This window comes from Homo sapiens, chromosome 3, assembly GCF_000001405.40.
Source record: "Homo sapiens chromosome 3, GRCh38.p14 Primary Assembly".
NCBI classification, from domain to species: domain Eukaryota; kingdom Metazoa; phylum Chordata; class Mammalia; order Primates; family Hominidae; genus Homo; species Homo sapiens.
Window position 1 is genome coordinate 68,525,657 of NC_000003.12, and position 20,370 is coordinate 68,546,026.

A 20,370-nucleotide genomic window follows, 5' to 3' on the forward strand; every position below is an offset into this window, starting at 1 on the left:
TTTGCCATTTCAAATATAGACACACATCAAATTAGTTTCAAGAGTGCTCTATGATTAAGGAGTCCATATTTCATCTTCACATGAGAGTCTAGTTATGTTTTTTGAAGTTAATTACAGCAAACCTGAAGATATCAGTCTCCCCTAGAGACTGCAAGAGCACAATGGTATTATATCCTGTTATTCTCTCTCTCTTTTTTTTTTAATCAAACACCTGTATTAACACATTCTCAAGTGTCTGTGAGCCAGGCAAATAGTGCTGAGAACCACAAGCTTTTCATCCAGACCTTAGTCCTCCTGAGTTTTCCATGTTCTCAGTTGTGATTCACTCAGCCACCTATGACAGCTTAATAAAATAAGAGAAACAATGTATCTCCTTTGATTCCCTAGGATTTGGCTTCTAAGGCAATAGGTGAGTTCAGAGTTAAGAGACACTTCTCTCCTAGTTGGTATCAATTTGTATAGATCTGAAGTGGCCTAAGAGGTTTTGCATGCTCTGTAGTTTCTCCCTTGTCTAAAGTTTCCATCAATGCCAAGAGCATCTCCCTGGGAGTTTGAACTTCCCTTTAATCTAATCCATTTAGAAAATGACTCACAATTCATTGAATGAAGTAGAGAAAATTGATAACTTTTCATTAGTCTGACAAAGTCTTTTTCAGTGCTGGCATCTAAAATGTGTTCTCTATTTAAATTTTATTTATATCAATCTTCTCTAGTGGGAGTAAGATTAAAATGAAATACCTTACAATCAGTGTACAACTTTCCCATTACTGCCAAAATTGTGAACACTAGTTTTGCAAATGAACTCAATACCAGGAATTTTCTGAGCATAATTTAATATTTGAGATCAACTGCACAGTGGAATCAACCAAAAGTGATATTTTAATACCTCAATAACTATAAAAATGATTACATATAAAAAGAGGAAAGAGTACTTAACTGACATTATTTGATCATGGTAAATTTGTAGCAATTCCAGCAAAAACTATATTATAGAGTCTAATAGTACTCTCATAATGTACTTTTTAAAACTGGGGAAATGTTTGTATATAAACTCATTCCTTCAAAGAGCCATTTCTAAAGTTTAAGAAAAATACCAAAGTGTAAAAGAATGCCTCTGCCAAATGGAATCATGAGTGATAATTTTTTAAATAATTATCCATATGCTTTAAATGTTAGAAAAGAATATGTATTACTTTCAGAATTAGAAAAAAAATAAAGGTTTTTTAAGTTGGCAAAATAAGAAACATAAAAAACATTTGTTCTTCAACAAAATTGCAAATTACTATCCACTGTAAATAAACTTTAGGGTCACTCTTAAATAATTTGAAGGTAGAATGTTAAATTTTAAGATACAAGGTATATACAGTAAGACATGTATTTAATAAGCATGATTCCTTGTGTTCCTTGCTAACCATTTATTAAAAATTATTTTTCTACACAGATGCAAAGTCATGTAAAGCTGAATTCTAAAATAAAACCATCTATTTAGTGAAAGCAAGACCAACATTCAGGATTTGATTTACAAATAGAATCAGGGATAAAGTTACCACAGATTAAAAGTATAGAATAAGCCAGGGACTCCAGGACTGGTATGCAGCCTAAGACAAAGAGTATTATTAGTGGCAGGAATTAGGAGAGCTTCCTTGAGTTGCAAAAGGTCTCTGAAAATTCCTTGTCACCAGAGCATACAGCTTTTTTCAAAATAGGACATGTACCCCTGTGTTCCAATAAGACAGCTTAGAGTAGCCCATAACAGGTAAAAGATTTCTAATTGTTTTGTGTTTTATTTTAAAATTCATGTCAAGGTAGCCTTTTATATCATAATATATACTTACTTGTTTTAATACAAAAACAGTTTTGTTAATTACTTAATGGTTAAATTACTTCATCAATGAGGAGTCTTCTTATGGTCACACTCTGAGAATCTAAATTATATCCACTAGTTCTTTTCTCTGATAGCATGCTGTATCTTTTTATGCATCACAACTTGTCAATATATATTGTCTGGTCTTTATATTTGGTGCAGAGTTCCAAAAAGAGACTGTATGCTGCTTTAGAGTGGGAACTGTGTGTCTTGATTTTATGTCCAGCACTGCAGTAAATGATTAGCTTTTGAATGAATAAAAAATAACTTTTGTCTCAAATACCTTTAAAAAAAATCTACCGACTGAAGGAAATTATACCACATTTAACTTGTGACTTTCAATCCTCCCATTTCACAATCCATGTCCTCCCCTCTACCCTCACCAAGATAAGATTGTCTGTTCGAAAAGCACTAGAATAGAATTTGTAGAGGGAATGCAATCCTAATGAATCTTATCATCAGCCCTTAACTTCATGTATGTCTTTGAAATATAATGTAGATCCTCTAAAGAAATACAATTTGAGCTGTAAAAAATGATCGTATGCATTTCAGAATTAGTATAATCTTGCATTAAAGATAAGGCATTAACCCTGTATGAAGGTGAGGGGATGGATGCATACAGAGCTGGATAATAAACACATGGATAAATAATAGTGATAACTGCCACATGCTGAGTATAAAGTTTATTAGGCATTATGGTAAGTGCCTTATCTAAAATTCACGATAACCAGTTGTGACTTTTAACTTCATCTACAACTGAGAAAACTTAATCTTGAACTAAGCAATTTTCCAAAGTCATACTATTACAAAGTGGTAGAACTAAAATTCAAACCCAGGTCCCTCTATCGCATACCCAAGAGTTTAGAGTCTTAGTCAATACATAATGTCTCAAAATTGGATCCTATCCTTAAATATGTGCTCATAGAAAAGCGAAGTTTGAAATAACTGCAGGGAAGGTTATCCAATGCCTTTAATTTCCTGTTTGCTTTGATAAAGACAATAACACACTGGGAGTCACTACAGGTCTTTTGAAGAAAAGAGTTGTAACAGCTGTTCCAACAACCAGTGCAAAAAGGGAGGCTGGAGATCTGTCCCATCCTTACAGTGGAGTTCTAGCCATTGCTTTAAATTGCATGACAGGTTGCACAAAAGTAAGTCTGGAGATTTGTCTTGATTGAGGTACTTATAACCTACTTCTGGGAACATGAATACAATCATATGTTCAACCATTTAATTTATGCTCAAACTCTCATAAGTCATAGAAGCAAGCTGAGAGTTTGGCATATCGAAGAATAATGTTTTACTCTCACTTAGTGAAGAATTGCCTTTTTGGTTTGGCATGATTTTATTCTTTAGAGTAATAAAATTGATGATGCCAATGAAGATAATGATAGCTAATATTTATTGAAGATTTACTGAATGCCCAGTACTCTGCTAAGTACTTCAAATGTACTTTCTCATGTAATCCTCACAACCCTTTGATATAGGCACTATTTTTTTTCTCTTTTTGTTTCATTGTGTTTATTCATTCATAAGTTGGAAATCCATCTTGACCTACCCCATGCCACTCAAAGATTAGTATAGTATTAATCCTACTGTTAAGGAGTTCACTGCCTAGTACAAGTAGGCAAGCAGATGAGTCCAGTGTGATTGGAGTGAAAGCTAAGATGACCGAGTTACTGGTTAAAGTGTTCCTCTGTTATTCCTAACGTTGCCCTCCACCCTGCCCTTCTTCACAATTCTAGTGCAAGCATGTAAAATCAGGAGCTTATCTTTTCTCTTTGAGTTTAGTGACTCTTAACTAGCATTTCATCTGCTTCTTCTTCCATCTTACACACTACACCAATGCATCTTCCCCTACCTACCCTTTAATCATATCTCCCCTTTGCTCATGGAATCTAGATTCACCATTCTCTAAAAAAAAAAAAAAAAAAAAAAAAAAAAAAGAACACAAGCTGCTTGCTTTCAAGAACTTCCATAGTCTTATTAAGCCTTTGTCTTAGTCTGCTTGTGTTACTATAAAAGAATACTGCAGGCTGGGTAATTTATAAATAAAAAATATTTATTTGGCTCACAGTTCTGCTGGCTGGAAGACTGGGCATCTGGTGAAAGCTTCAGGCTGCCACCACTCATGGCAGAAGGTGAAGGGGAGCTGTGTGTGCAGAGACCACATGGCAGAGAGGAAGCAAGGGAGAGAGGAGAGGTGCCAGGCTCCTTTAAACAACCAGCTCTCGTGGGAACTAAGAGGGTGAGAATTCACTCACCCTCCCCTGTAGGGGAATTGACCTGTTCATGAGAGATCCACCCGATAACTCAAATGCCTCCCATTAGGCCCCATTTCTAACATTGGAGATCAAATTTCTACATGAACTCTGGAGAGGACAAAAAATCCAAACTACAGCAGGTTTTCTCCTTTTATTCCCCAACCTGAGCCTGCTCTATTAACACAACATATTTACTAGGGGAAGAGCACTTTGCTCATTTATACTTCTTTCCTGTAATTTATGACAAAATGCCAGTAACCTGTATTGAGAAACTCTGATCTAAACTGTCATCTTTGAGGACAGGACTATGTCATGTTCTTTATTTTATCACTCTTGGTAAAGCAGGTAATGTTTTGATAAACATTTGCTGAATTTGATTATCTACTGAAACAGTAGAAAGGGACTGCAGTTCTTAGTCAATATAATGTTTATTTATTGTTTTCATTAAGCCCATTGCTTATTAGTATCTTGCTATAGTTCCATGGCAAAATGCCTCATGAGTGAACAACAACCATAATGAAAAACAGATTTCTGCTCTATTTAGGATTTATACTGAAATAAAGGATTGATTCTCCTTTTACAGCCTCTCTTTTGCTCTATAGCAATATGACCTAGTATAAGGGAAAAATCAAGACTCATGATTAAAGAAGCTTTAGTGATTTTAAGAATCTCTCAAAGAAAGATGAACATTCTGGAAAGAGTTGAAGATCAAATATTTTCCTAAGCATGGCAAATTCACAGAGCAAGTCCTAGAACCCCAGGGTTAAAAGGGACCTTAAAGATCTTCTTTCATAATCACTTCAGATAAGAGAAGCTGGTTTTGGTGGCTGATATTTAATTAACTCAGTTCTAGGGGATAAAAAGTCCTCGGAGCAGTTATGCATCTACCTCACAAGTTTCTCATGGCTTCGAAAATGGTTCACTTGTGGGAATTTCTATTAAAATGCTGTAACTAGTGAAATCAAGTAATGAGTAGCTCAGATCAAAAAAAAAGTGTGATAAGTTGGCTCTTGCTTGAATTTTTTTTAAAGCTAACTTAATTTTACAAGAATCTAAATGTTTTTGTTTTCTGCAAGTATTTGTGTTTGATATGAAATTTATTTTCGATAGTAATACAACATACAGAATCCATGGACTCATGGACTCAAAAGCCAATATATTTTTTTAATTCTATGAATGCTGAATACAAAACTAGAAGGCACTGAATTAGCATTATAATGATTAACAACAACAACAAAACAAAACAAAACAAAACAAAACAAAACAAAACATGGATTTGGTGGGGAAGCAAGCTGGGGTTTTAGTGTTAATTCCTGCACTTCCTACCTGTGTAAGCTTGGGAAAGTTACTTAGTCTCTCCGGGCTTCAGTTTCATCACTTTTAAAATGGGTTAGTGATAATACCTACTTTATAGGGTTGTTAACAGCAGCGTATCCATGTGGGTCTGCAGCAGCCTCAGATTCTGCCTCCTCAGAAGAAAGAATTTGACCGAATGACTTAAAGCAGAGGGAGAGAACAAGGCAAGTTTTAGAGCAGAGGTGAAAGTTTATTTAGAAGTTTAGAGCAGGAATGAAAGCAAGTAAAGCACACTTGAAAGAGGGACAAGCGGGTGACTTGAGAGATCCAAGTGCACAGTTTGACCTTTGACTTGGGGTTTTATAAGTTGGCTTACTTCTGGGTGGTTGTGTCCCATCTCCCCTGATTCTTCCTTTAGCGGGGCTGTCCACATGTGTAGTGACCCGCCAGCACTTGGGAAGTTGTGCTCATGCTCATTTGAGGCATTTTTCCCTTATCAGTTGAGTGTTCCTAGAGGAAGGTCAGTTAAACTCCATCATTTTGCTTCTTAGAGCACGTGCTTGAACCTACTCATCCAACTCCTGAGATCTTATGGGGAAGCTGCTGATCACCAGCTTCAGGTGTTTTCTATCTGTTGGGAGACTGCCTTTCCCTGGCGCTGGTTGTGACCAATTATTATTTTAGAGAGACAGTTTAACAAGCACCTGACCATCAACTGATGGTTGCCAGGCATTCCTGGTGGGGGGCCCTCTCCTGCCCTGCTCATGTCAACCTAACTACCTGCTCTAACAGAGTTACTGCAAAGACTGAGGTAATACATTTAAAATACCTAACAGAGAAACACATAGGAGCACTCAATAAATGTTAATTATCCTTTTTATTATTGCATTGACTATCTTAATTCAAAATATTTAAGAATTATTTATCTTTATATTTTTCTTATGCAGGGTTGAGGAGAATTTTCTTCTCTCTGAACGTCCAAATCTGTCTGTTAAAATGAATGGACAACAGATCCACAGAGGAGAAAGTAGGCAAATTTATTAACATGTACATAGACATGGGAGTCCCACAAATGTGAGACCCCTAAAGAGCTGGATGACTGAAGATTTTACAGCACCCTGAGGTTATAGAAAGAATAGGGGCTCGGGTCTTCCCAGGAGGAGGAGGGGAGGTGGTGTCACTGGTTATGGGAAAATGGCAGAGGCAAAACCTGGCAAAGAAAGGCTGCCTTCTTATGCAGATAAAAGCCCCTCAGGTATCTGGGAGCACTCTCAGAAAGAATAAATGGTAGCCTGTGGTAAAAGTTTCTCTGTCAGACTTTAAAAGTGTCAGACATTGAGTCTTTTTTTCGGAGGGGGGATGGAGGGTGGGCAGTGCTCAGAGAAAGCCCATTTGCATCCACTCTTCACTAATGTAGATTTCTTGTTTAGATACAAATCATCCCCAAAAAACACAGCATTTCAGAGCCATTTCTGTGTCTACAGCCCCTCTGAGTAGCCATCTCAAAATATACCAAAGAAGTAGTTGGGGAGGGTGCATATTTGGGTTTCCATCACTTATCATAAGTATCTCCATGAGACAAAATTGTAAAAACAGTTAACTAGCATTGATATTAGCTCATTTTATTAAATCTAGTGGATCAATTCTCTTTCAATAACCTGAAGGTTTTCAGGTAGCTTTCAGTTTGGGTGAAGAGGAGGCAATTTTGAAATTCTCTCATTGTAAATTTTTTTTTAAATTGCAGAAATAAAATGAGTTTATGAAAAAATTATGTTTAGAGAATGTAGCTTTGTAAAGCAAAATAATAATAATAATAATAATAATAATAATAAAAGTCTGACATAGGTCTCAATCAATTTGGAGGTTTATTTTGCCAATGATGAGGACACACCTGGGAAAAAGAGACACCAGTCACCATAGGACTGTGGCCTGCACTTTTTCCAAAGAGGGTTTCGAGGGCTTCAGTATTTAAAGGGGAAAAGTGGGCAGGGTGGTAAGGAGAACAAAAAAAAAAAAAAGAAGGAAGGTATGTAGTAAGGTGAGCGGTCGCATCCTTATGATGCTGTATTAGTCCGTTTTCACACTGCTGATAAAGACATACATAGGACTGGGTAATTTATAAAGAAGAAGAGGTTTAATAGACTCACAGTTCCATGTGGCTGGAGAGGCCTCACAATCATGGCAGAAGGTGAAAAGCACATCTTATATGGTGCTGGACAAGAAAGAATGAGAATCAAGCAAAAGGGGAAATCCCTTATAAAACCATGAGATCTCATGAGACTTACTTCCATGAGAACAGTATGGGGGAAACCGCCCCCATGATTCAATTATCTCCCACAGGGTCCCTCCCATATCACATGGGAATTATGGGACCTGTGATTCCAAATGAGATTTGGGTGGGCACACAGCCAAACCATATCAGAGGCTTTAGTGAGTGATCACTAAATCTACATGTTGCATGTGAAAGGAGCAGGCAGAGGAACAGTAAAGTATGGATTCGCCTTGTGCTTTCAGTAAAACTGCATTTTACATGAGATAAAGTAAACATAGAGCAGAGGAAGAAGTCTAATATGCATTTGTCTTGAGGTGGGGAGAGGATCGATTTCTACTCCTGTCTTTGTCCTGTACCTGTGAAGATAAGCTGTTAATTTACATTGTCAGAGTGAGTGAGACCATGCAGAGAGACATGTGGCCTTCTATCTTGCACTTATCTGTTTAGAAACAAAGGATTTGTGTTTGTGTGACTCAGTTCGCAAGCTTTACTTTTCCCTTTGGCATAGTGAGTTTGTGGTCCTGAGATTTTATTTTCCTTTCACACCTTGACCTGGAATATAAAAGGATATATATGAAGATGGCCATGTAACATGTCAATCAGAAACAAAATTGGTCTAATGACATCTTCAGAAAGGCAACACTGTGAAGAAAACTAAAATATTTTACCCGTATATATATGTCTTTGACATACTTTGAGATGGTTGTTCAGAGGGCTTATAAACAGAAGTAGCCCCCAAATCTGTCTCTAGTGGAGACGATTTGCATCTGTAGAGGAAAAAAAAGTGAACTAAAGAACAGATGCAAACAGCTTTTCTCTGAAGCCCCCACCTTGTCAGTATTTAGAAAAGATTGACTGAGGGTCTGACACCTGGCTGTTCTCTCTGAGGGCTGCTACCTGAGAAGTTTCATCTGCATAACAGGACCACCTTTGCTAGCCAAATTTCTCTTCGCCTTCTTCCATAACCTGTTCCAAGCCCCTATTCTTTCTGTAAGCTCAAGATGGCATAAAAACATCGATAATCTTGGCTTTCTTTGAATTTTTATATTTTGAATGATTCTTTTGCACATGTGTGCACATAATTTGTATGCCTTTTTTTCCTGTTAATGTTTATTTTTATTTTGTTTTATAGACTCAAATTAGCAAATCTGCAGGTTTAAACTTCTCTACAACTGGAAGAATGAATTGGATTCTAGTAAGCCAAAGGGTAAAGCAAATCATCCAACTCTATTTAGAAGAGGCAACTCTAATGTGAATTTTTAGATATTATAACAGTTCTGAGGACGTTTTTCTTCTTAGAAAGCCTCTTCTTTTCCCCCTATGAACCAGTGGATCTTTACAACCTTGAATTAAAGGTGATGCATGGGTTTGGAGATTTATTTTTTCCCTAATGTCTACATTTTCATTTAGGAGGTATTAATGCTTAAGACAAAAGGAAACTGCTTTGTTAACTTGCAACAAAGTAGATCAGCTCCAAGAGGGCAGAGAGCAGCCTGAAGGAGGAGGAGGAACAGGGCTTAGAAGGAGGCAACACCAAAAAAAAAATGCAAAAAGCTGACCCCACTGGCGGATGTGCATTATTCGCTAGCTTCTGTGAAAAAAAGGGTGACAAAATGCTAAGTTGAAGGGTTGTTGGGAAAGGCAATTTCTTCTCATGCTAAGATCAAAGGGTTTCCATTCTTGATGGTTTAGATTCAGGGCAACAATATTGAAATATTAGGTGGGGTTTAAGTGGATAAGCATCAGAAATGGTAGTAAATGTAACTGGACTGTTTCTGATTAAGTGCTTGCCCAAAGGAAACTTCAGATTATAGGTTTTCAATAAACACTGGCAAACCTTGATTTGTGTCTTATGTAACTGAAAGTTTTACAATATATTTTTGTTCCCTTTCAATAGTGTATGTTTTTCTTGCTTCTCTTATGTAATATTGTCATCTGTTCATTCACATAAATAAGTACTTTTACCCATGACAAGAATCTTCCTTTACTTCCTTTACTTCATGCCCAGATACAGAGCACTGCCATCAAAAAGAAAAAAAAAAAAACAACTTTAAACTCTCAATCATTCTATACCCTGTGGAGGATTTCTGTCTTCTATTCAAACTCTGTTTTACCATAATATTACGTTGTCTTACATATGAATACAGCTATTTAGAAGATTTTACCACCTATGCTTGCTGGCCATATCCAGTGGAATTGCATCATACATACTTTGGTCTGGTCCACATATAAGGCAAAAATTAAATATGGCAAAATTACCCTTGAGAAGTTTCTTAAATTGACAATATAATAGAGTAGACATGACTTTGCATATAGAATCCTACTGTCGACCTAAAGGGAAGAGCCTGAAGCACAAAATGTAACTTGAAGAGTTTATTTGAACCAAAATAAGGATAGCTGCCTGGAAGACTCAGACCATAGTAATCTTGGATATGAGCTCTACTGGCCATAGTTAAAAGCAGGTTTTTAAAGGGGGAAAAATGGGGATGGGGGAAAGTTTTTGTTAGGAACTCTCATTGGTTTACAGAAATAACATTCATTAGTGATTGGCTATCCATTGTTAAGCTATAGGGCATGGGATATGGTGTCCACTGAGGCATTATTAGGTTAATGCATAGCTATTTGTGGCAATTGCAAGCCATCTCCTTAGATGAATGTGTGTCTCAAAACAGAGGAAGCAGGGTGTGATTGCTATCTCATTTTACACCTCCCTGGGCCTAATAATTTGAAAAGGCTCACATTCCTCACATAAAAGTTCTTTTCTTTCCTCACTACATAATAATTTTATTCAAAGTAAAGATTGAGGAACACTGAATTCTAAAGAAGGGGAAGACTGAAGTAAGAAAAGCATAGAAGGAAAGCCTAAGGGCAGAGAGATGTCTGGATGGTTAAACCATTCTGCTTTTAAGTCAGCAATCTCATCCCTCTAGTGAATACTGGATAGAGAGAGAATTTTAATGTGCTCCTGCTTTGCTTCAGGGTCTACTCCATCCCGTTTTAATGTTAATCCTCTGTGACATTATCATATGTCATTTGGCTTCTTTGTGTTGTGAGACTTAAAGATCATGGTGGAGAGCATCTTTGGAACATGGGGGATGGAGGGGAGTGAGTAAAGAACGAGGGTTCTCGTCCCGTGTAAAAACAGCCAACCAGAAAGCATCGTAAGACAAACACCTGGCTGACATTTTGAGGATTCTGAATGGGAAATGCCCAGGTGGATTTGGGAAGAGCTAACACAGGGAGGAGCTACAGAAATGACTGGTGCTTGTGTAGAAATCATTTTTCAATTAAGGCATTAAGGGAAATATAGAGTTTCTTGATTTGCATTGAGTGAATCTAGTCACTGGTTTTATAAAATTTTGTTATCAGAAAATGTGTGCTGTAAATATTTAGTACATACACTAAATTCATTGCCAGCTTCCTATTGTGGTCATCCTTGATATTCCCCTGAAAATTAGGGCTGCTTTATCAGAGGCTCAACTTTTGATAGTTCCCCCCACATCATATTAAACATATTAAAAGGTAACCACAACTCATATCAACTATACTCTTGATGGTAAGGATATATTTTTATCTAATATTACTCTTGACTTTTATTTTGCAACTTTTCTTTTGTACTTTCAGTCAATTCATTTTTTCTATGCCAGGCCTTTGAAATTCTTCAAGGCCCTAGGCTAGGCGATAAACCCTAATGCTTGGTGGATAAATTTGCCTTTCTGAGAAGAATGCCTCAGTCATTCTGAAGAGTATTGAGGCATTTGTCCCCTTCATTGAATAGAAATAGTGCAAGATCTGTGCTCTACAAAAGCTAAGAGCACGAAAGTTCCTGAAGACCCAAAAATTAAGTGTAGGGGGCAAAGAAAAACTCCTTCATCTTCTGAAATTTTGATGAAAAATCAATGGGCAAAAGGCAGGTTAATAAAAGAAAAGGCATACAAATTTATTAATGTGTACATGAGGGAGAATCACAGTGATTACACTAACCCCCTAATGGCATATAAAAACTTACATACTATCTTGAAACTTCATAAAGAATGGGGACTCAGTGCATGGCCCAAAACAGGTTATGATGGTAAATCAGGTTATATGGCAAGACAGGTTAGGGAAGGGAGAGAAAAGGAGGCCTGGCTAGCAACGTTGGTCTCACAGGTAGCAGCCCTCAGAGAAAATAGCTGGTAAATATTTCTTTTAGGCCTTTAAAAGTGTCAGACTCTCAGTTAATTTTTCCTAGACTGGACAATGGGGGCTTCAGAGAAAGCCTGGTTGTATCAGTGCAGATTTTCTTTATAGATACAAATCTCCCCCATGAAAGAAAACTTTGCTGGACTACTTCTGTTTGCTGACTCTCTGAACAGCCGTCTCACACTATGTCAAAGAAGCATATTTTGGAGTAAAATATTTTTATTTCCTTCATAAGTCTTCCTCTTCCATATGCATTTGGCATAAAAACAAAAAGATTGTTTTAATTGCCTGTGGGTTCTTCCTGTCCACTGTACAGACAAAAACTAATTCACTGAGACCATGATATTGCAGTAAAGAAAGAGTTTAATTAACTCAAGGCTGGTCACGTGGGAAACCTGGAGTTATCACTCAAATTAGGCTCCCTGAAGTCTTCGAGGTTAGGATTTTTCAAGGGTAGTTTGGTGGGCAGGGGGCTAGGGAATGGGGAATGTTGATTGGGGTTGAAATGATAGAGGTGTGGCAAACAGTTCTCATGTGCTAAGTCAGCCTCCAGGTGGGGGCCACAGGACTGGTTGGGTCCTGAGTGTGTGGGTCTCAGTGGAGTCAGTTGCTAGAATGCAAAAGTCTGAAAAAATCTCAGTCAATTTTCAGTTCTACAATAGTGATATTATCTACAGGAATAATTGGAAAAGTTACAAATCTCGCAGCCTCCAGAACAGTAGCTGATTATCATTTAACTACTTCTATATCTTAAGAGAATTCAGCCCCCTCTCATAGTCCTAACTTTGTGGCCTTTCATTAGTTTTACAAAGGCAGTTTACTTTTGGGAAGGGTTATTATTATCCTTGCTTTAAGTTTAAACTAAATTCCTCCCAAAGTTAGCTTAGCCTATGCCCAGGAATGACCAAAGATAGCTTGGATGTTAGAAGCAAGATGGAGTCAGCTATGTTAGGTTTCTCTTACTGTCATAATTTTGAAAAGGCAGTCTCAATCCCCAACAAAAATGCTGCTTGATGAAACCAGTCCACATAATTATATTTGCATTATAAGGCATATAAATTAAAATCTTATTTTTTTAATAGAGCTTTCTTAGCTAGTCATGGAGGATTAAAGAGAACTTAGTGTGCTTCCAAGAACGTGAAAATCTGCAGAGGGACACAACGTCAGTGTTCAGGTTGTTTGGATGAATTGCAAACACAGTTGTTTCCTGTTTCTGCACAGCCTCCATAGTGATTGGGAAATGGTGGTGTGAGATGGAGCCTTGCCTAGAAGGAGAAGAATGTAAGACACTCCCTGACAATTCTGGATGGATGTGCGCAACAGGCAACAAAATTAAGACCACGAGAGTAAGTGCACTTATTTCAAATGTATTTTGGATGTTACAGACTGTACTATTTGAGTTTGTGCTGTGCAAACAGCATCCACAGAAGCTTTGCACAGGAGAGAAGATTCTCCACTGACAGAAAGCATTCTGAACTATGCAGATCAGTGTCCATCCGTGAATGAGACGTTAGAGATTGAACTTGACTTTCCCACACTGAGCAGTTTAGTGTTTCTGTCACAGACTCATAAATTAAGTTGGGTTTCCAGCCAGAGTGGAGAGGAATCATGAGGTAATTATTCGGATAATTCATCCAACATTTATAATGCTCAGAATGATAATCAAATGAACTTCCTCCCTAATTCATCCAGATGGTTTGCTGAAAGGGTCTGCGTTTAAGTACACCTACAGAAGCCATTTTCTAATGTTCTTTAAAAGAGTTCTGTGATGATCCGTCAGAGAACTGAAAAGGGTTTTGGGGAGTGAATACATCATTCTTTGATTTCTTTGGTTAAATCAGGAGTGATCTTCTAAATAAATAACAATCTTCAGGGTGGGGTAATCCAAACCATCAAAATTGGCACCCTTATGCTGGAGCAGGGCAGAAAGGCCCAGCTAGCTAGATATTAACCCTGTAGTTACTGGACAGCCTTGGAATCCTAAAGGGGACAGGGGTGGGAGATGCTCCGGATGCTTAAGATAGTAATTATATATCCACTAATAAAAAAGTATGTCTATTTGACAAGTGTGGTCATATGTATGTGTATCAATTGAGTATCAGCCCTGTTTCTCTCTCTCTTTGTCTCTCTCTGTGTGTGTGTGTGGGGGGGCATGGGGTGGGTGGGTGGGTGTGTGCATGTGTGTGGTGGGGGGAGGGGGTGCATGCCTGTGTGTGTTTTAATTTACAGGAATTTTTCTTGAGAGAGGGGGGTCTCACTCTGTTGCCCAGGCTGGAGTGAAGTGGTGTGATTATAGCCCACTGCAGCATCTAACTCCTAGCCTCAAGCTATCTTCCTGCTTCAGTCTCCCAAAATGCTGGGATTACAGGCCTGATCCACCATACCCAGCCTGTGGAGTATTTTTTAAAGCAAGCTCCATCGGTTACAAATCCCAGTATGCTGAAGTTTTATTCTACCAAAGGTCTGATGTATTTGAAAGGATGTCTCTGTTTCCCACCCCTTATTATTAATCTTGACTTACTCTTTCTTCTCAGCCTCACTTTTTCAGTGAATAAAATTGGTTCTTTCGTCTTTGTGATGCAGAAGACAAAACTAATGCTACATAATACTATATAAAACTTATTTTTCACATATAAAATAGGTGAAAACATCTTGTGTATCAAATTTCCTTGCCTTTTTTGACCCCCTTGACCAGTAGTAAATGGCTATACATTTCCGGCTTGCGACCAGGAGGAACCTCTGAACCACCCTAGCTTGCTAACATGCATCTGTCTGTGCCTGAGTAGCTTAATGTGGATTATCCTGTTTCATTTTAATGAAACACCTACAAAAGACATTATTCAGAAATAAGCCTGGTTCATGCAACTTATCCACAGAGACCATTTTAATTAACTAGTAGAAGGTGGGAAATCAGGTTTCCCTTTGGTTACCTTTTGCCTAAAACTGATTCTTCCCAATAATTTGAAGTTGCCCTCACAAATTGGTTTGTTTTAAGCTATTCTGAATTATGGCCAGTATGATTGGAATCTAACCACCTTTGTTTTAAACACATTGCTGATATATTTCCTGCCAAATCTCTTTTCTCTATTCTAAAGAACTGATTGCCTTTTATTGAAGGCAAGTCTTATTCTCATGGTGTCTCCAGACCTGAAACACAGTAAAGAAAAATAATTCAAGTCAGGATTTAAATATGTGAAATTCCAAGAGTACCAACTAGGAGACTCTTTGGAAGATAGAATATAAAACAAACAAAACAAAAAAACAGAAACATAGATTGTTAATGCTACTTTTTTGAGACCAATGTAACTTTCTTTTATTTGGCCTCTGTAGAGTACATTTTAAAACCATCAGGCATGTTGCAGATGCACCCTAGACATTTTCCAACAACACAGGAGTATTGTGCAGGATCTGATCACAGTACCAGAGACTGGAGCACACCATTTGCTACCTCCCTGGGTGGGCTGAATTCAACTCAAGCAGTTGAATGGATGAGATAAACAAACTGCCATTGCAGTCGGTTTGAAAGCAGAGGATGTACCTGTTCTGACGTATACATCCTTTTCAAGCAAGGAAATAGGAGGCCACTCTACAGCCATGTGAGCTGCACATCAGTCAGCTGAGAATTCTCAAGTCTGTCCTTAGAAAAGGAAAGAGAAGACACTGGAAAAGCTGTACTTTTTAAACCTTCAGAGGACTCAAATGCTCTTACTGACATACGTCCTCCCTCCTCCCTCCTTCTCAAGAAATTTGCAATGAAATAAGCACTTTTAAACACAAGGAGCACCAACTAAGTCCAGATGATGTATATAGGAACCATCTATTCTGTGTAAATGGTGTGTCAACGCCAGTCCTTAGATCATCTGCTCTGAAAATATGTTCTGTATTAATTTTTCTTCTACATCTTATGTATTCTTCTCCATCAGAGCACAAATATGCTTACTCACTTCAAATATTGATTCTAACAATTTAACTTTAAGAATGGTTTAATTCACAGATGTACTTTAATTATTATGAGTCACATGTTTTCATTGTTCTGCTGTTATCAAAGAGGTAAAAAAAAAAACAAAGAAATTTACCTCTTTTGTTCTTTTTTGTGTGAGAATAATTCAAAGACAGTTCACTCAGGATAAAAATAAAGTTGGGGAAACACACTCAGATTGTTAATAGCAACTGAGAGTTTCCTTCATACTGTTATTTTAAAAGTAACTTCAATATAAAGATAATCCAGGGAAAGGTTCCTGGGACTTCATTCTCTTTCCTATAAAAGACTGTTCCAAACCTTCATCTTTTGTAGGTTACTTCCAAAATAATCATCCTGAACAAAATTCTCTTCGAAATGTGGTTAAATAATGTTTCAAAGTCTGATCTAATTTAAAACTTTATGGTGTTCATTTTTTAAGGAAGGTGAAGAGTAGAAATGTGGTGGTTCATCTAAACTACCAGACACCCCAGAACGTCTGGAGTAGCCCAGGTAACAGGCCACAGTCTAAAGAAAAACCTCAGGAACAATGGATCTGAGTGATATTATTACCCCAGAAGGAAGGAGAAAATATAGGTGGAATTAGGCAAAGCCTTTTCTTTCAGGAGATTTGGAATAACTTTTTAAGAGAGGAAGACTCCTGGATGCCACCCTATAGAAAGGAAGTATTCACCTTGAAAGGTTTTCCAAGACCCAGCTTGGAGTAGAATAAATCTGGCAACACACACACTTCTGGGGAGAATCTCAGTACATCTGGGTGAAGTTTCATGGCCAAATTATTCCTCTGCGTCTGCTTGATCATTGCTTCAATTGCTTTATTAAATAGCTTTGTTGGTACTTAGGAGCAAGACTAACCAACCAAAATATTGACTAGAGATTTTATTCTTGCAGTTTTAGACACCTATTTATTTACGTCTTTTCTTTAAACTATATCAAATACGTAAGTTTGAAAGTTGGGGAGGCTCTATCCCATGTATTCAGATACATGTCTATACCTTTTATATTCAGGAACAATGGCTTAATTTAGAAAGACAGACTTCCCCTCAGAGATGTAAAACTGAAAAGTATCTGAGACAGGTCTTACTCAATTTAGAAAGTTTATTTGGCAAAGGTTATGAATGCATGACCTAGAGGTAGGTCTGTGCCTTTCTCCAGAGATGATTTTGAGGGTTTTAATATTTAAAGGGAAAAGGGTGGATATTGGGGAAAGAAGCAAATTTTTAAAGGTGTGGGTAGTTAAGAGACAAATGGTGGTTACATTCTTTTGGTCTTTGACAGCCTTTCACCAAATACACCATTTACATGTGGGAAGGGGGTAGAGGAAGAGCCACTTAGGCCTTCATGTAGCTCAGTTAATCTTTATTTTTACGACAGAGGACGCAATCAGATATACATTTGTCTCAGGTGAGCAGGGGGATGACTTAGAGTTCTGTCCTTTGTCCTGCACCTGAAAAAATAAGTTATCAGTTTACATTGCCAGGGTAAAATTCAACAGAAAGGTTTTAGGATAAAGATCTGGGACCCACAAGGAATTTCCCTGTGGTAAAATTGTGAGGGACGTATGTGGCTTTTGAAACATCTTTGTAGCTATATTATTTAGGAATAAAATGAGAGGCAGGTTTGCCTGACATCATTCTCAGCTTGAATTTCCCTTTGGCTTAGTGATTTTGGAGTCCCTAGGTTTACTTGCCTTTCAAAGACAAAATAAGTTATTTGACAATGATGGAATAATTTCAGCTAAAAACTGAATGTCAGTTACTTGGTGGCAGGAAGAGGAAGAGGAGGAAATGAGGAGAAAATCAGTCACTGGAAAAGACAAACTAACAGGTTAAAATAGCAGAACATAATCTGGTGTCATATCTTGGGAAGCAGCAAACCACGCTGGGTTTGCTTCATTCCAATATGTGAATGTCTCTCAGACTAGTGAGAAAATCAACAGTTAGTACACAATGTAAAGTCAAGTTTTATTCCCTAAAACGAGGAGGTAGAAGACCCCAGATTGCACAATTAACCACTATAGCCATCTTGTCAAATCAGTGTTTTCTGTAACTGGCCCAACACAAATCCACCTGCCTAACTCTAAAATCCTTAAATGGACTTCTACCTCTAGCCTCAGAACACTCAACTTCTAAAACTGTAAAGAAGTAAGAGATAATAAAGAAAAATGCCATATTTCCTGGAACTCTAGAGTAGAGTCTTCAACTCTATTAGAATTGTTATTTATGCTTGAAGTTAGTAGTTCTCTGTACATGCGTCCTTTTGAATATTTGAGCCTTTGATACCCTATTCAAGTGGATTAAGACATCTACAGCAACAGAAATGTAATCTTGATTGCCCTTGAACACAGTGTCATTGAGTGCAACAGTTTCTCACCTTGCACAGGAACAGTTTCTCATCGCTGTGTTCCTACACAGATGTGGTCTAACCTTGACAACGACCTCACCTCATGCCAGCCCTCTATATCTTACAACAGGCCAACTTCACAAGACCATGGAATAACTTACCCAGTTCAAATTCTCATCAGATAGACACAGGAGTGATTACATAACATGCAAGGCCAGGTGCAAAATGAAAGTGCAGGGCCCTTGTTTAAAAATTATTAATAATCTCAAGATGGCAACAGAAGAACATTAAACCAAGCAGGAGGCTCTTTCCAGGATAGGGCCTTGTGCAACTTCATAGGTCACATGCCTAGGAAACCAGTCCTGGATAGGCATTGCTCCAGGAGCCTCACTCCTCAGGAGTGACATCATTAATTTATTGCATTGATAAAAATATGGTGGCCTATCAATATGATTTGATCACCATTTGAAAATGACTGCTCTAAACTTTAAGATTTTTGACTTCAGATCACCTGAAAAAAAGCAACATCCTAAAGATTCAAGGTGTCCTCCTTTTCTACATAATCACATTTCTTTGTGCCTTCAGTTTGCACTGTTCTCCCTGAAATGTCTGTCTTTCTTTGGTTTCAGATTCACCCAAGAACCTAACAGAAGCATTTGTGGTAGTAAAGGAAAACCAACCCTCTGGAAAATACATTTTGAGAATCTCAAACATCTCACATATATACAAGCCAAATGGATTTCTTACTTGCACTTTGACTGGCTACCAGATAATCACAGTGCGTTTACTGTGTGTAACGAAATATCCTACAGTGAGAAGACACAGCGTTTTGGCAACACCATGGAAAGTGGGCTTAAAAAAGGGTTTTCTCAGTGAAATTTTTGGGCATCATGAAGAACGATCAACTATCTTCTAATTTGAATCTATAGTTACTTTGTACCATTTGAAATATATGTATATATATATATATAATATTTTGAAATATTATCTATTCTCTTCAAGAAATGAACAGTACCACAGTTTGAGACGGCTGGTGTACCCCTTTGAGTTTTGGATGTTTTGTCTGTTTTGCTTTGTTTTGTTAGTCATTTCTTTTTCTAACGGCAAGGAAGATATGTGCCCTTTTGAGAATTCAAGATGGCACTGACACGGGAAGGCCAGCTACAGGTGGACTCCTGGAATTTGAGGCATCATAATGATACTGAATCAAGAACTTCCTTCTGCTTCTACCAGATGGCCCAAGGAAGCACATCGTCCTGTTTTATTGCTTTCTACCCTGTGCAATATTAGCATGCAAGCTTGGCTTACATAGTCATACTTTATATTCAATTGATATATAATAACCGTTCTAACCTCTTCCAGGAAAATATTTTTAGAACTACTAGCTTTTCCACTTAGAAGAAAATGAGGATTCTTAAGGGAGCCACTCCACCATGCTATTAAGACTCTGGCAGAGTTATGGGTAGGATATGGATCCCTACATGAATAAGTCCTGTAAATACAATGTCTTAAGGCTTTGTATAGCTGTCCTAGACTGCAGAAATGTCCTCTGATTAAATCCAAAGTCTGGCATCGTTAACTACATAGTGCTGTAGCAACAAGTCTTATCATGGCATCTCTTTCTATGTTTGGTTTGCTTTTTCCAAGAGTATTCAGGTCTCCTCTTGTGAGATAGGAAGGCCATGAAAACAATTAGATTTCAAGATGATCTATGTGACCAAATGTTGGACAGCCCTATTAAAGTGGTAAACAACTTCTTTCTAAACCTACTTGTCTTCTTTATTTTGCCATTTATTTTTACTGAATCAACCTTAACCAAATCCAGAGAATGCACTGCTCAGATACTCATAGTCAGCCAGAGCTTCTCCCATAAGGTCTTTGCTTCCATTGTGGCTACTATTTACAATGTTAATATTTTGAAAATCAGAACTCCATTACTATAACTGCAGTGTCCTCAGTCAGCAAGCCGAAATGTCAGATGCCATTATTGGGCTTTCGTAGTTGTTACTGGAATAATAGATATGGGGCTAACCCCACCAAAAAATGATCTTCTTTTTTTGAGAGTTACTCAGCTAATGCTTATAAGAAGGAAATATCTACTTAAGTTCTAGTTTTCCTGGAGATAGCATAATCATACTTTCCGTTCCAGTCATCTTGTAAGTGTATCCCT

At 37.6% G+C, this 20,370-nt stretch overlaps 1 protein-coding gene across 7 annotated transcripts in view, besides 1 other annotated feature; it reads left to right on the forward strand.

Moving 5' to 3' along the window:
• The window catches only part of TAFA1 (TAFA chemokine like family member 1), a 554,078-nt gene extending 534,113 nt beyond the window's left edge, over positions 1-19,965 (forward strand). For all 7 annotated transcript variants that reach the window (NM_001252216.2, NM_001438647.1, NM_001438650.1 and 4 more), the window contains 2 exons: positions 13,100-13,224; positions 18,830-19,965. In NM_001252216.2, the coding sequence (NP_001239145.1) occupies positions 13,100-13,224; positions 18,830-18,847 (143 nt within the window). In that variant the 3' untranslated portion in view covers positions 18,848-19,965. The remainder of the gene's footprint in view (positions 1-13,099; positions 13,225-18,829) is intronic.
• Positions 10,023-10,575: an enhancer, noted in NCBI's record as "OCT4-NANOG hESC enhancer chr3:68584830-68585382 (GRCh37/hg19 assembly coordinates)". NCBI's record gives its function as "activates a minimal SCP1, AML or CMV promoter by ChIP-STARR-seq in primed H9 embryonic stem cells {active_cell/tissue: H9 hESC(primed)}" and the evidence as "EXISTENCE:reporter gene assay evidence [ECO:0000049][PMID:30033119]".
• Positions 19,966-20,370: the final 405 nt, after the last annotated feature.